This window comes from Homo sapiens, chromosome 22, assembly GCF_000001405.40.
Source record: "Homo sapiens chromosome 22, GRCh38.p14 Primary Assembly".
NCBI lineage: Eukaryota > Metazoa > Chordata > Mammalia > Primates > Hominidae > Homo > Homo sapiens.
Genome location: NC_000022.11, coordinates 16,635,806 through 16,651,845, shown reverse-complemented (window position 1 = coordinate 16,651,845; position 16,040 = coordinate 16,635,806). Strand labels below are relative to the sequence as shown.

General features: G+C 41.0%; 2 pseudogenes across 1 annotated transcript in view; one reads left to right on the top strand and one right to left on the bottom strand.

Annotated features, from left to right (window-relative positions):
* Positions 1-3,015: 3,015 nt before the first annotated feature.
* Positions 3,016-16,040, bottom strand: part of TPTEP1 (TPTE pseudogene 1) — a 46,920-nt pseudogene continuing 33,895 nt past the window's right edge. The window contains 5 exon segments of the transcript NR_001591.1: positions 3,016-3,319; positions 4,061-4,183; positions 4,589-4,678; positions 13,106-13,267; positions 14,756-14,806. The product of NR_001591.1 is annotated as a TPTE pseudogene 1 (transcript).
* SLC25A15P5 (solute carrier family 25 member 15 pseudogene 5) lies at positions 5,233-6,354 on the top strand (annotated as a pseudogene).

Genomic DNA, 16,040 nt, shown 5'->3' with positions numbered 1-16,040 from the left:
TGGAACATGTCCTGGGTCCAGAGTTTAAAACTTCTTGTGGCCTATGGAACACCAGGTTCTGTGCTTAAGGGTGGAAGGCTGCCCCGCCGCACTACAACCTAAGCCTAGGGCATAAAACCCCTCATGGCTTGGATGGAATCCAGGACTCAGGACATAAAACCCCTCGTGGCCTCTGGAATGTGTCCAGACTTGCTGGCTCCTTGCTTCTTGCTCTCCCAGGATCATAAACTGATTGTACCTTGAGGCAGAAGGAAATGTTCATTATCTCGAGTAGCAGAACATGTTCCATATGCTTCAAAGAAAATGCTAGACCGACACAGCTATAAACTAAACACTTGATGTGACTGCTTCCTTTTGACCAGCACGTCCTCACCACCTGCTTCTTTGTTTAATCTCCAATAAATGGTGTGGGCTCCCAGAGTTCAGGGCCTTCACAGCCTCTATACTAGCATTGGCCCCCTGGACCCACTTTGTGTACTATTAGCTTGTCTCATTCCTTTGACTCTGCCGGACTTTGTAGCCCCCATGGCCTGGTGTTGGGTTTGATCACCTCAACACCAATGTGGCTATTTGTGACTGCCTTTGTTTTATAATATTTTTATTATTCACTTTGTACAGATGAAGACTTCCAGCTGTAGAGGCCAAAGGGGCCACACTGCAGGTAGAGCAGGCATTCACCAAGGCGTTTGTGATCCTGGGGTGCAGCTCCCACCCTTGGCTGCCTGGGTGCTTCTTTCCAGACCTACTGTCTTGTGACGTTCCCTTAGGCACGCAGCACAGGCTGCTTTCTGATTTAGAAGTGAGCCTGTTCAGTTGATGGCTCAGCGCAGGCCTCTAAAAAAGCAAGCCTGATGTGGGTTAGTACATCTGTGGTTGACTTATTTGGTGTTCATTTTTTCAGTTTTCAGAAAGGTCAGTTGAAGTGCTGCTGGTGGCTGTAGAATTGATACGCAGGGGAGGTTTTTGATCTGTGAGCTTTCTAAGGGACAATTGCTAAGCTGCACTGATTCCTTGAGCCCCTTTCCTTTGGAACAATGTAGAGCCCAGTTCATGGCTCCCAGAAGTTTAGGTCCAGTAATTTGGCTGCAGGCCTAGAGAATGGGAGGCTGCAGACTTGGACTAATGGTGAACTCTTGCCTCCCCCCAGGGATATGTGGTGCCTGTCATAAGCTCCAGAGAGCTGCCTTCCATGAGACCAGAAGAGTGGGCAAACATGAAGTCCAATCCCCCTATCCAGGCTGCCATTGACCTCATGGCAGGGGCTGCAGTTACAGTCCTGTGCCTCATAACCATGTTTCTGTTGGTGATGGATGGTGTATCGGATGGTGGTCCCATGAAATTATACCATCTTTTACTATACCTTTTCTGTGTTTATATACGTTTAGATACACAAATACCACTGTGTTACAGTTGCCTACAGTATCCAGTACAGTAACATGCTGTACAGGTGTGTAGCCTTGAGCAACAGGCCATACTGTACAGCCTAGGTGTGGAGTAGGCTATGCCATCTAGGGTCGGGTGTGTATGCTCTATGATAGCACAATGATGAAATTGTGTAATGACAGATTTTTCAGAACATGTCCCAGTCGTTAAGAAATGCCTAAGTATAATCCCAGAGAAAACCCAGTCTTCTCTATTCCTCAAGTACCTTCTAAATGAGATCAAATAAAAGTGGTAGGAAAACATTACCTTTCTCCCTCTAGAAGTGATGGGCTTTACCTTTGGGATGAATCCATTTGATGGAAGTGTGGCATTGTTCAGAGTGTGGCAGAAGGTAGAGAAGTGTCCATTATTGCTAACACCTTGTGAGTCAGGGTGAGGGGAGGAATGTGCCCAGTGCAGCTGGAAAACAGCTCAGAGGTGAAGCCCCTTGTCCATTGTCACCTGGCTGTGATAGGCAGGTGACATCGTTCTTCATTTCAAGCCTGGCAGTCTTCAGAGCCCTTGTAGTGCAAAAATAACACCATAGCATCTCCCAGGAAACATCACTTACTGTCCCTGCTAGTGTTGGGAAAGAAAGGAGGACACTCTTTAGAAATGTCTTTTACAATGAGACTGATAGTGGACTGTGTCTTACAGCCATGAAAGGAAAGGAGAAGTTGTAGGATTTCCTGGGAATGTCAGCTAACCTGAGCCTAGGGGCCTGAGCCCAAGGGCAGACTGAGGCTCCCCCAGCACAGGGAGGTGCTGCCTGTGACAAGGGGGTAGTGCTGGCACAGTGCAGGCTACTCCCTAGAAAGATCAGCTTGAATATGCAGGAAGAGCAGGACCCTCGGGCTGAGGCACAGGTGGAATGGGAAGTGCATGGTGGTAATTTAGTTCTCCAGAGGCCAGAAGTAGGAGGAGCAGTTGGAATGCTGATGGCCCAAAGGGAAACCCTGGACTACCCTGGCCTCCCACAGTAATTGTGGCTCCCTGCAGTGGGGAGGCCAGAAAGAGTGTTGCCCAATGCTGTCCTCATCCAGTCCACCCCCCACCCACCACCAACAGATGAGTATGGTCATGAGTGTGGTCACCTCATCAGTCATTTGCTCAGTTGTGAAAAAGAAATTGTTCCGAGAAGAGCAAAGTGTTTTTCCATGAGCCAAAGGTCGGCCAAGGTATGCTAATGAGGAGGACTGGAGACAGCACGTCACAGACACCGAGAAGGAGCACTGGGCAAGGGCACTTCTCCCAGGGCAGAGCCCACAAGGAGCGTCCTGGCACCAGACGCTCATGGAACTGAAGGCTGGCAGGGGTCCGCCCAGTAGTCTCTTGCCCGCTGCGTGCCTTTAGGCTACAGCCTCCCAGGCCCCGTGCCCCCTCCCCTCCCCTCCCCCATGCCACACTGGGGAGGATGCTGACCCTGAGAGTGGTGCAACCATCTGCCTGCCCCTGGCCACCACCTCTCACCAGCATGTGAATGCTCTTGGGCTCAGTTCTGTATCTGCAGTAGGAGGGTGTTTAGCCACATGAGAGAGTCTCACCTTTTGACATTCTATGTCTTTCAGTCTGTCAAAGATCTAGAACATATTGTGATGGAATTAAAAAGTTTACTTTTGGCTGGGCAAGGTTGCTCAAGCCTGTAATCTCAGCACTTTGGGAGGCTGAGGCGAGTGGATCACTTGAGTTCAGGAGCTCAAGACCAGCCTGGCCAATATGGTAAAACACCGTCCCTACTAAAAATACAAAAATTAGCCAGATGTGGTGGTACACGCCTGTAATCCCAGTTACTCAGGAGGCTGAGGCAGGAGAATTGCTCGAACCCAGAAGGCAGAGGTTGAAGTGAGCGAAGATTGTGCCATTACGCTCCAGCCTGGGTGACAGAGCAAGAATCCACCTAAAAAAAAAAAAAAAAAAAAGAGTTTACCTTTTCATATTTATGTGCATACAGGTATTTGGGTACCACATTTGTAATTTACAGTGAGTTTGAAAGATAGAAATTGTAACAGTATGGTTGGGAGCCAGGTATGTAAGGCAGTTGCCGATGGGCATGTTTTGAACCTGTATTGGGCCCTTATATGTATGATCTCTGTGATCCCATCATTACTGTTCATTTCTTCCAGGAGAGGAATGACACACTTCTCACTTTAATTGCCAGATTATCTCCAATTCTGAATCAGTGGAATATAATTTAATATGATTTTACTATGATTGAGTCATTCTCTCCCAGGTACTGCTGGGCTAGGATAAAATGAGATCTGAATTACATTAAAATAATTAATTATTCCAAGAGAAGAGGTGACAGAATGTTTTAAGTGGGTGTGTAATTTAGATAACCTAGATGCAGATAAGCTGAATAAAGCATTTAATCCAGCACATTCGTATTTTAACTTGATCATCAGCAATGGAAGTTGGAAACCCAATTGCAGCTGCAGGTCCCACACAACTGAATTTGGTTCCGTGTGCATAGCAGTGTTCGCTGGACATGCCTGGAGGTCTGAAGGTGCGCCCTTTTATAGGCAGGAATTCCACCAGGATGGGTATAGCTTGTTTTTTTAAAAGGCTTGGGACTGGATACGATTGCCCAAGAAGACAGTGTAGACAGCGAGGAGGGCTGAGCATGAATGGGATGACCTACCTGCACAAAAAGGGCAGGCAGGAAGGCAGTAAAGAAATGAGCAGGGCCCAAACCAGGAGAGTGTGGCATGCCACAATGGAGACTGAACAGAAACAAAACTACGGGCGACTGTAGTGTTGTTCCCTGTTGAAGGAGAGACACTCTATTACAGAAGACCTGGACTTCAGTTCAGTTCAGTTTCCTTAGCAAAGGACAAAATCAGGGAAGAAAAACTCACTTATGTGAGGCAAACATCGCATGCAGTGGTACCAACCAACTAAACATGATAAGCTACAAAGAACTATGGTTTTCGCTACTCTCAAAACGCTACTGAGATTACCAAGTTTTAAGCTTTTTCAAGATTATTTATAGGTGATTCCCCAACTGGGAAAGTCATTTCTGAATTTCTTCTCTTCTAAAATAGATCTAGAAAAATTAACAAACCTTATTCCAGTAAGAAAGTTTGGGATGTACTGCTTCAGCCCCTGTCCTAAGGAAATTATCAAGCCTGGAGGGTGGGGTGCTATCAACTGCCTGCCAACATGTTACCTTCTGGAATCCAGAAGCTTCCCTGTGCCAGGTGGAGCCACCAATGTGGGGAGGAGAGCACAAAGAGCAGAGAATCCACAGAAACCATACCTGCAGGGAGCAAACACCATCACACCCCACTGCTGTGAATGCAAATGCATTTACCTGTTCTTACCATCTCCCTCAGCATTTTGAATCTATTCTGGGATTAGACAAGCTCCCAGACTTAACTGCTATGTTTAATAAAAACATGGTAAAGGAAGAATCGGGGCTATTAAAATGCTTAAGAATGAGAAAGTTGAAAAAAGAAAAAAAGACGTAGATTGTGTTTGGCCTGTCTTCTCCCCACCGTAAGGGGTTGCCACTCAGCTGGAGGCCTGCTGGTTCATGTGGGCCAGCCCTCGACACCTCAGTGACCAAACAAAATACAACCCTCACTAGAGCTTCTTGTACTTGGCAAGACCCAGGCGTAGACCTGGGCTACCAAACAAAACCTTGTGTTCTTAGAGCCTGGGAACAAGAGCTTTGACAGTTTCCACAAAGAACTCTTCTGCAGCATTAGCATTTCTATTTGCACCTACCTGCAGCCATTACTACATTGACCTCTGGAAATGTCACATCAGCTGTTCTTGAGATAAAATACCATTTGCTATTTTTTTTTTCTCTAGGCCCTGTCCCTTTGATGTTAAGTGGTGGAGGGAGTTGGCGGGATTTGCCTATGGCTTGCGGTATATCCAGTGGATTGTATCAAATCCAGAATTCAAGTTCTTTCCATGTCTGGAAAACCGGCAGGATTTATCAGAACCTTTATAAATGTTGTGAAAAATGAAGGTGAATAAACACCTGTTTTTCCAGCATCTAGTATACATCTTAAAATCTGAGATGTGAACTGCTCTGTTTTGATTGTAAAAGGAAAGAGAACAGTAACACAGCAACTTTGTGTCCCAAATAGAGCACAGATAACTTGTCTATTACTCATAGTAATCCTCCCTTAAATTTGTATAACGTGAAGTTTTACAAAGTACTTATACCTCCCTTATCTAATTCAATCTTCATAACCACCCTGGGCAGTACTAATATTATAAACCAGTCTCCAACCTCAAGGTTGGTGCTCTTGCCACTGCCCAGGTGAAGCTGCAAAGCTGTGGCCACCTCTGTCTCCATGGTTGCATCTGTCTGGCCATCTCAGGCCTCAACGCTGACCCATCCGTGTACTAAGAGTTAACCAAGCATGGAATTGGGGTATGTTACCTGAGCATCAGTCAGTTTCGCCAGGAGACCTGATACTTGTCCTTGTTTCTGTTGGTCTATTTAGGGAAAGCTGGGAATGCGTCCTTCCATGACTTGTTGGTTTTTAGCACACTTGTCTGGATTTGCATGTGTAAATATACCTGTGCTATGCAGTTGTGTGGGTGTCCCCAAAGGAGGGACTGTTGCAGTCTTTACTTGCCCTTTTGTCTTCTAGGAATAATGGCCTTATATTCTGGACTGAAACCTACTATGATTCGAGCATTCCCTGACAATGGAGCACTCTTTTTGGCCTACGAATATACCAGGAAGTTGATTATGAGCCAGTTGGAAGCACACTGAAGTGTCTTGGAGGGCCTGAGCCAAGCACAGGTGTTTGAGGACTACAGTTCATCTCAGGGTTTCTTGTAGTACAAGACCAGTGTGAAGTTATTCTGATTTCTTGGGAATTTTGCTTTTTCGTCTTCCCTTATACCCTACATCTTAAATTGTACGGAAGAACCTCTATTTTGCATCATGTCATTTCTGCCCATAATTGTACTGAAATAGAGAAGTCACTGCTCTTTCCCTTGGTAAAATAGAGAGTGGTCAGTAGCCTTATGCATCTAATTCAAAAGACTGAGTACAGTTCTGTCAGGGCTTTTACATAAACCTCTACTTGCACATGCAATTTGGACAGTTATGTGCTGAGGGAAATACAGTTTGGTTCCATGTTTATTTCAAATATTACCAGAAAAACCCAGAGGTGATCATTTCTTATGAAGATGCTTACAAATGGTTGCTTAACCCATTCTAGATGTATGATCTGCTTAATGTGTGTTACTATTCTAAGTGGTTGATTTTTTTTTTTTTAATATGGAGTCTCAGTCTCTTGCCAGTCTGAAGTGCAGTGGTGCAGTCTCGGCTCACTGCAACCTCTGCTTCCTGGGTTCAAGCAATTCTCCTGCCTCAGCCTCCCGAGTAAGTGGGATTACAGGGGTGCTCTACCACACCTGGCTAATTTTTGTATTTTTAGTACAGACAGGGTTTCACCATGTTGGTCAGGCTGGCCTCGAACTCCTGACCTCGTGATCCACCCGCCTCGGCCTCCCAAAGTGCTGGGATTACAGGCATGAGCCACTGCGCCTGGCCAAATAAAACATATTTTTAACGAATAAAAATTAAGGACAAAGAAGAGCATTCCTTATAGAATGATAAAGGACACAATTCAACCAGAAGACCTAGCCTAAATATGTACACACCCAACATTGGAGCACCCAAATTCATAAAACAAGTTTTTCTTGGCCTACAAAAAGATTTAGACACACAATAGCAGCAGGAGACTTCAACAACCCACTGACAGCAATAGACAGATCATTGAGGCAGAAAACTAACAAACTCTGTACTTGCACTTGACAGTTGACCAATTGGACCTGATAGACATCTACAGAACGCTTTGACCAACAAACACAGAAGATACATTCTTATGTGCACACAGAACATATTCTAAGATCAAGCACATGCTTGGCCATAAAGCAAGCCTCAATAAATTCAAAAAGTTTGAAATCATACCAAGCACACACTCTGACCACAGTGAGACAAAAATAGAAATCAGTATCAAGAAGATCTCTCAAAACTACATAAATACATGGTAATTACATAATTTGCTCCTGAATAACTCCTGGGTGAAAATCTAAATTAAGGCAGAAATAAAAAAATTCTTTGCAATTAATGAAAATAGGGACACAACATACCAGAATCTCTGGGATGCAGCTAAGGCAGTGTTAAGAGGAAAGTTTACAGCACGAAATGCCTTCATCAAGAAGTTAGAAATATCTCAAATTAACTTTCCTACTTTGCACTTAAGGGAACTAGAAAAAAAGAATAAACTAACTCCAAAGCTGGCAGAAGAGAAATAACTAAAATTAGAGAAGCACTGAATGAAGTGCTTTTTGAAGTGCTGTTTTTTTTAGACTAGATGCAAAAATCCACACAAAAGATCAATGAAACCAATAATTAGTTTTTCAAAAAATAAACAAGATGGATAGCCTGATAGCTAAACAAAGAAAAAAAGAGAAGAGCCAAATAAGTACAATCATAAATGACAAAGATGACATTACAAACAATCCCACAGAAATACAAAAGATCCTCAGAGAATACTATAAACAACTCTATGCACACAAATTAGATAATCTAGAGGAAATGGAGAAATTCCTGGAAACATACAATCTCCCAAGATTGAAATAGAAAGAGATTGAAACCTTAGACAAATACCGAGTTCCAAAATCAAATCATTAATGTAAAATCTACCAACAAGGAAAAGCCCTGGACCAGATGAAGCAACAGCTGAATTCTACCAGATGTACAAAAGAACTGGTACTAGTTCTATTGAAACTATTCCAAAGAACTGAGGATGAGGGGCTCCTCCCTAACTCAGTCTATGAAGCCAGCATCAGCCTAATACCAAAATCTGGCAGAGAAACACACAAAAAGAAAACTTCAGGCCAATTACTCTGATTAACATAGACACAAAAATTCTCAACCAAATACTAGGAAACAGAATCCAGCAGCACATCAGTAAGTTAATCCACCACAATCAAGGCTTCAGTACAGGGATGCAAGGCTGGTTCAACATACCCAAATCACTAAATGTGATTCACCACATAAACAGAACTAAAAGAAAAATCATATCATCATCTGAATAGATGCAGAAACAACTTCTGATAAAATCCAACATCCCTTCACATTAAAAACCTCAACAGACTCGGCATCAAGGGAACATACCTCAAAATAATAGGAGCCATCTACGACAAACTCACAGCCACCAACCTACTGAATGGGCACAAGTTGGAACCAATCCCCATGAGAAATGGAGCAAGACAATGATGCTGACTCTCATCACTCCTATTCAACATAGCACTGGAAGTCCTACCTAGAGAACTCAAGCAGGAGAAAGAAAGAATAGGCATCTAAATAGCAAAAGAAGAAGTCAAATTATTTCTCTTCACTGATGACATGATTCTATATCCAGAAAAGCAAAGACTCTGCCAAAAGGCTACTAGAACTAATAACTTTAACAAAGTTTCAGGATAAAAAATCAATGTATAAAAATCAACAGCATTTCTATACACCAATAATGTCCAGGCTGAGAGTTAAATCAAGAACAGAATCCCATTTATGGTAGCGACAAGGAAAATGAAATAACTAGGAATACAACTAACAAAGGATGTGAAAGATCTCTACAAGAACTATAAAACACTGCGGAAAGAAATCAGAGATAACACAATTAAATGGAAAAACATTCCATGCTCATGGATTGGAAGAATCAGTATCATTCAAATGGCCACACTGCCCAAAGCAATTGACAGATTCAGTGCTATTTCTATCAAACTACCAATGTCGTTCTTCACAGAATTAGAAAAAAGTATTCTAGAAGTCATATGAAACCAAAAGAGGGCCTCAACAGCCTAAGCAAATCTAAGCAAAAGGGCAAAGCCAGAGGCTTCAAACTATAAGGCTACAGTATCCAAAACAGCATGGTACTGGTACAAAAGCAGACATATAGACCAAAGGAACAGAATAGAAAACCCAGAATAAAGCCTTACACTTAAAACCACCTGATATTGCAAGGCTGACAAAAACAAGCAACGGGGGAAGGACTCCCTATTCAATAAATGGTGTTGGGGTAACTGGCTAGCAATATGCAGAATAATGATACTCGACCCATACCTTTCATCATATACAAAAATTAACTGGAGATAGATTAAAGATTTAAATGTTAGACCTCCAGTGATAAAAGTCCTAGAAGAAAACCTCAGAAATACCCTTCTTGACATTGGCCTTGGGAAAGAATTTTTAACTAAGTCCCCAAAAGCAATTGCTATAACAACAAAGATTGACAAGTGGGACCTAATAAAGCTAAAGCGCTTTGGCACAGCAAGAGAAATGATCGACAGAGCAAACAGATAACCCAGAGAACAGGAGGAAACATTTGCAAACTATGTATCCAACAAAGGTCTAATATCCAGAATCTATAAGGAACTTACACAAATCCACATGCAGAAACCAAATAACCCCATTAAAAATGTGGAAAGAACATGACACATACTTCTCAAAAGAAGACATACAAGTGACCAATGAGCATCTGGAAAAATGCTTCACTTCACGAATTGTCAGAGAAGTGCAAATCAAAACCACAATGAGATACCCTCTCACACTAGTCAGAATGGCGATTGATAAAAAGTCAAAAACAACAGATGCTGGCAAGGCTGCAGAGAAAAGGGAACATTTATACATTGTTGATGGGAGTGTAAATTAGTTCAGCCACTGTGGAAAGCAGTCTGGAGATGTCTCAAAGAACTTAAAACGAGCTACCATTCGACCCAGTAATCCCACTATTGGATATATACCCAATGGGAAAAAGACCATTCTACCAAAAGACACACACACTGATATGTTCATTGCTGTGCTATTCACAATAGTAAAGATATGGAATCAACCTAGGTGCCCATCAGTGGTGGATTGGATAAAGAAAATGTGGTACATATACACGATGGAATTCTACACAGCCATAAATATGAGTGAAATCAGGTCTTTTGCAGCAACATAGATGGAGCTGGAGGCCATTATCCTAAGCAAATTAATGCAGGACCAGAAAACCAAATACCACATATTCTCACCTATGAGAGCTAAACAACAAGTACCCTTGGACATAAGGTTGGGATAAGTAAGGAGTTACTCCTGCCATTTTGTTATTTGTTTTCTGGTTGTTTTGGGGTCTTCTCCTCCTTCTTTCCTTCCTGTCTTTCATTAGTGAAGGTAATTTTCTCTGGTGATATGATTTAGTTTCTTGTTTTTTATTTTTCATGTATCCATTGTTATGTTTTTTGGTTTGAGGTTACCATGAGGCTTGTAAATACTATCTTATAATCCATTATTTTAATCTTATACTAAGTGTTCATAAACAAGTAAAAAGAAAATAAAAACTCTACAACTTAACTTTGTCTCCCTATTTTTTAACTTTTTGTTATTTCTATTTATATCGTATTATACCATCTATGTCTTGAAAAGTTGTAGTTAGTATTTTTGATTGGCTCATAGTTTAGTCTCTCTACTTAGAATAAGAGTAGTTTATACATCATAGTTACAGTGTTATAACATTCTGCATTTTTCTGTATACCTATTACCAGTGAGTTTTATACCTTCAGGTTGTTACTTATTGCTCATTAATGTCCTTATCTTTCCTGATTGAAATATTCCCTTTAGCATTTCTTCTAGGACAGGTCTGGTGTTGACAAAATCCCTCAGCTTTTGTGTGGAAAAGTCTTTATTTCCCCTTCACTTTGAAGGATATTTTCACTGGATACACTGTTCTAGGGTAAATGTTTTTTTCCTTCAGCACTTTCAATATGTCATGCCACTCTCTCCTGGCCTGAAACGTTTCTACTAAAGAGTCTCCTGCCAGATATATTGTAGCTCCATTGTATATTATTGGTTTCTTTTCTCTTGCTGCTTTTAAGATCCTTTCTTTATCCTTGATCTTTGGGACTGTGATTATTAAATTCCTTGAGGTAGTCTTCTTTGAGTTACATCTGCTCGGTGTTTTATAACTTTCTTGTACTTGGATATTGATATCTTTCTGTAGGTTTGGGACGTTCTGTTACTATCCCTTTGAATACACTTTCTACACTCCCCACCTCCTCTTTAAGGCCAATACCACTTAGATTTGTCCTTTTGAGGCTATTTTCTAGATTCTGTAGGCATGTGTCATTGTTTTTTATTCTTTCCTTTGTCTCCTCTATGTATTTTGAAATAGCCTGTCTTCAAGCTCATTCTTTCTTTCTTCTGGTTTATCAATTCTGCATTAAAAGACTCTAATGCATTCTTTGGCATGCCAATTACATTTTTTGGCTCCAGAATTTCTGCTTGATTCTTTTAAATTATTTCAATCTCTTTGTTAAACTTATCTAATAGAATTATGAATTCCTTCTCTGTTGTATCTTGAATTTCTTTGAGTTTCCTCAACACAGCTATTTTGATTTGTCTGAAAGGTCACATATCTCTGTTTCTACAGGATTGGCCCCTGGTGTCTTATTTAGTTCATTTGGTGAGGTCATGTTTTCTTGGATAGTGTTGATGCTAGCATATGTTCTTTGGTGTCTGGGCATTGAAGAGTTAGGTATTGGTTGTAGTTTTCACTGTATTTATTGTAGTTTTCCCTGTCAGGGCTTGTTTGTGCCCATCGTTCTTGGGAAGGCTTTCCAGATATTTGAAAGAACTTGGATACTGTGATCTAATCTCTATCTGCTTTAGGGGGCACCCCAAGCCTCCTAAACTCTGGTTCTTGCAGACTCATAGTGGCCTTAATGGTCTTGGACAAGATCCAGGATAATTCTCTGCATTACCAAAAAGAGACTCTTGTTTTCTTCCCTTGCTTTCTCCCAAACAAACAGAGTCTCTCTCTCTGTTCTGAGGCACCTAAAGCTTGGGGTTGAGTGACATAAGCACCTGTGTGGCCACCACTACTGTGACTGCATTGGGTCAGACCTGAGGCCAGCACAGCACGGGGTCTTGCCCAAGACCTGCTGTAACCACTTGTTAGCTATTGCAGGAGTTTGCTGAAGGCCCTGGGGCTCTACAGTCATCAGATGGTAAAAACAGCCAGGCCTGTGTCCTTCCCTTCAGGATGGCAAGTTCTCCTAGCCTCCAGGTGGATCCAAAGGTGCTGTCTGGGAATCAGGGCCTAGATCAAAAACTGTAAAAGTCTACCTAGTGTTTTATTGTGCTATGGCTGAGCTGTCACTCAAACCACAAGATGCAGTCCCTCCCACTCTTTCCACCCCTGTCCAAAGGCAGAGGAGCATCAATCCATGGCCACCTCAAACACAGGCCATGGAGGGGGTACTGCCAGACCACCACCAATGTTCTCATAAGGCCCAAAGGCTCTTAAGTCAGTTTGTAGTGAATGCTCCTGTTAATTATTTTAAATTTTTTTTTTTTTTTTTTTTTTTGGAGATGGAGTCTCACCCTGTCACCCAGGCTAGAGTGCAATGGCATGATCTCGGCTCAATGCAACTTCTGCCTCCCAGGTTCAAAAGATTCTCCTGCCTCAGCATCCCAAGCAGCTGGGATTATAGGCAACCACCACCACACCCAGCTAATTTTTGTATTTTTAGTAGAGACGGGGTTTCACCATGTTGGCCAGGATTGTCTCGAACTCCTGACCTTGGGATCCTCCCACCTCAGCCTCCCAAAGTGCTTCTTATAAAAGTACAAAATAGCTTAATGCATTATAAAAATAATCAAACTTACCCTTCTACAAATACTCGAAGAAGAACATCCATGAGAAAAAATAAGGCAATAGCTAGAGAAATAGAACGATACTCCGAAGGAATATAAAGTTTGCTGTCAGTGAAAATTAGGTCGGCAAGGACGAGAGTGACATCCAGTAAGACCAGGAAAACTCCAAATAGTCTAAAACAAACAAACAAACAAATAAATAAATAAATAAATAAATAAATGCAAAGATAAAGGGGCATTTGTCCCTATAGCTATACTATATTTAAGCCACTGATCAGGTACCAAAATGTCATTATTTAGTATTAAGCTGCCCAGTGGCAGGAAAAACTGTAATGCCTTAGAATCTCAGAAAAATCACTGTTTTCACCCAATAGAAGCAGTTCTTAATAAACAAAATTCTCACCAAACCACTTCACAAGATATTATCATGGCCTTTTATAGTAGACACATCAGACCAACACCTCAAGAGAGAAAAGTAAAACTGAATTAAAATCACCTGTGTCTGTTTACAAACTCTTCTTAAAATTTGAGAATTTCATAAGAAGTTTATACCAATTTCTCATAAAAAATAAACCCTCATTAATCTGGATAATTCTAAAGAATTTATTAATAAAAACCAAATGAAAGCATGAGTAACATAAGCTCTTAAAAGACCAAGATTTTTCATCAGTGACATTTTCAACAAGTACATGATTTCATATTTATGGGTGCTTCTAGCAGAGTGATGGGCACATGAGTCTTGAACTCTAAAGTACCTCCTGCCACTTGCTGTTACATATTCTAAATACATTCTCCATAAATTGATTAGACTATTTGCCTAATCTATGAAGGTGAATTAGTCTTTGAAGTACTTTTTTAAAAACTTGCAGCTCAAATTCAAATATTAATTCAGAAGGAAACAATTATATTGCATAAATCTATATTATAGTATGAAATCTTACTCTTATGTAGTCTAAGTAAATTGTTTCCAGAATTAAAGAGTAATTCCAGATGTATAAGGTACTAATAAAACACTTTACTAATAATTATATAATTTTAACATTTGATTTTCATTAATGTTACTTCTGCAGATGGAAGAAAAACAATATTAATGTTACTATTAATCTTAGGCAAAAGCCATTTATTTGCAATTCTTAATGTCCAGCTTAAACCAAAATTCCATGATAAATTAGATTACATTAGATGGGGCACATGGCTACTTAGCAACTGATGGACAGTGGAAATGCTTTTTTGTTATTTTATTTCAGTGTTTCTCATTGAAGTATTAAGTCTCATATATATATGTATGTATAGATACATATAAGACTCATATATTTTTTCTTTTTTTTTTTTTTACATGGAGTCTTGCTGTGTCGCCAAGGCTGCGGTGCAATGGTGCAATTTCAGCTCACTGCAACCTATGCCTCCTCGGTTCAAGCAATTCTTCTGCCTCAGCCTCCTGAGTAGCTGGGATTACAGGCACCCACCATTATGCTTGGCTAATTTTTGTATTTTTAGTAGAGATGGGGTTTCACCATGTTAGCCAGGCTGGTCTTGAACTCCTGACTTCATGTGATCTGCCCGCCTCGGCCTCCCAGAGTGCTGGGATTACAGGCGTGAGCCACCGCACCCAGCCAAGTCTCAGATATATTTAATACATGGTGTTTTCTATGTCTCACATACCCAAATGCAAAGGATGATATAATTGAATGCACAATTTTCTTAATCTTGCTGCTGCAAAAAGAAGTAAAAATAAAATTAATCAGATTTCTTCTAACATACATTGTAAATTTAACCAAAAAACAAAGGCCCTTATAAATAAATTTTAAAAGAAAATTATTCAGAAGTTGTATAACAAAATGCTTTTTACTAATAGCTAAAATTTTATTCTTCCTGCTCCATGAGTATTTTACTTGTTTACTATGCTATCCAGAAGACAGTAAACTTTGGATGTTTAGTAACATTTCCATTGCATGCAAAGCCCCAACCCCAACTTTACAGCAATACTAAACTTAAACTTGTGGTCACCATCTCAAGGAGTATAGCATGAAGACAGAAAAGGGTGGTAGAAGAGAACTGTATTTTAATGCCAGCCTGGGCAAATCAAACTTTGGCCAGATCTCAGTTTCCACTGCAATAAAATAAGGTGTTTCAGGAATGAGCATAGGGAGTAAATGATGCTCTTGTCATCTCCTCAAACTAGACACCTAGTGAACAGACACACATTAGCAAGAGTCGCATATGAGGTTGCAAATGAACTTCAGAGGTAAGACATTTTAGTAAGATATACTTCAAAGGAGAAACACCCGAAAGACTGGGCTCCTTCCATTAATCAAAGGAAGGAGAACCTGTTTGATGGAGCCTCCAATAATGCCTCATTTTACCTTATGGCTGGAGACAAGGTAGCTCATGAGGAACAATTTTTTTTGTCCTACTGAAGCCTCCTGTGTTGGAGGCTCTTCAGGAGGAGAAGCCTCCAACACAGGAGGCTTCAGTAGGAGAAGACTTCAGGAAGTTTCTGTCATACTGAAGCCTCTAACACAGGGCTCAAATTCCACCCCAAGAGCCATGAATCCTAAGACAATGCTCACAGCCTGTGCCTAAGACTGGAGAAGAAAGAGGGCAGATATTGAGCAGAACTGGGGCACTGACAATTGGCCTTTGACATGAACAGACATTTCTCAAAAGAAGACATGCATGTGGCCAAGCATATGAAGAAAAGCTCAATATCACAGATTAGAGAAATGCAAATCAAAACCACAATGAGATACCATTTCACACCAGTCAGAATGGCTATTACTAAAAAGTCAAAAAATAACAGATGCGGGCAAGGTTGCAGAGAAAAGGGAACACTTATACATTGTTGGTGGGAGTGTAAATTAGTTCAACCACTGTAAAAAGCAGTATGGCAATACCTTGAAGAGCTAAAAGCAAAACTATTTGACTGAGCAATCCCATTACTGAGTAG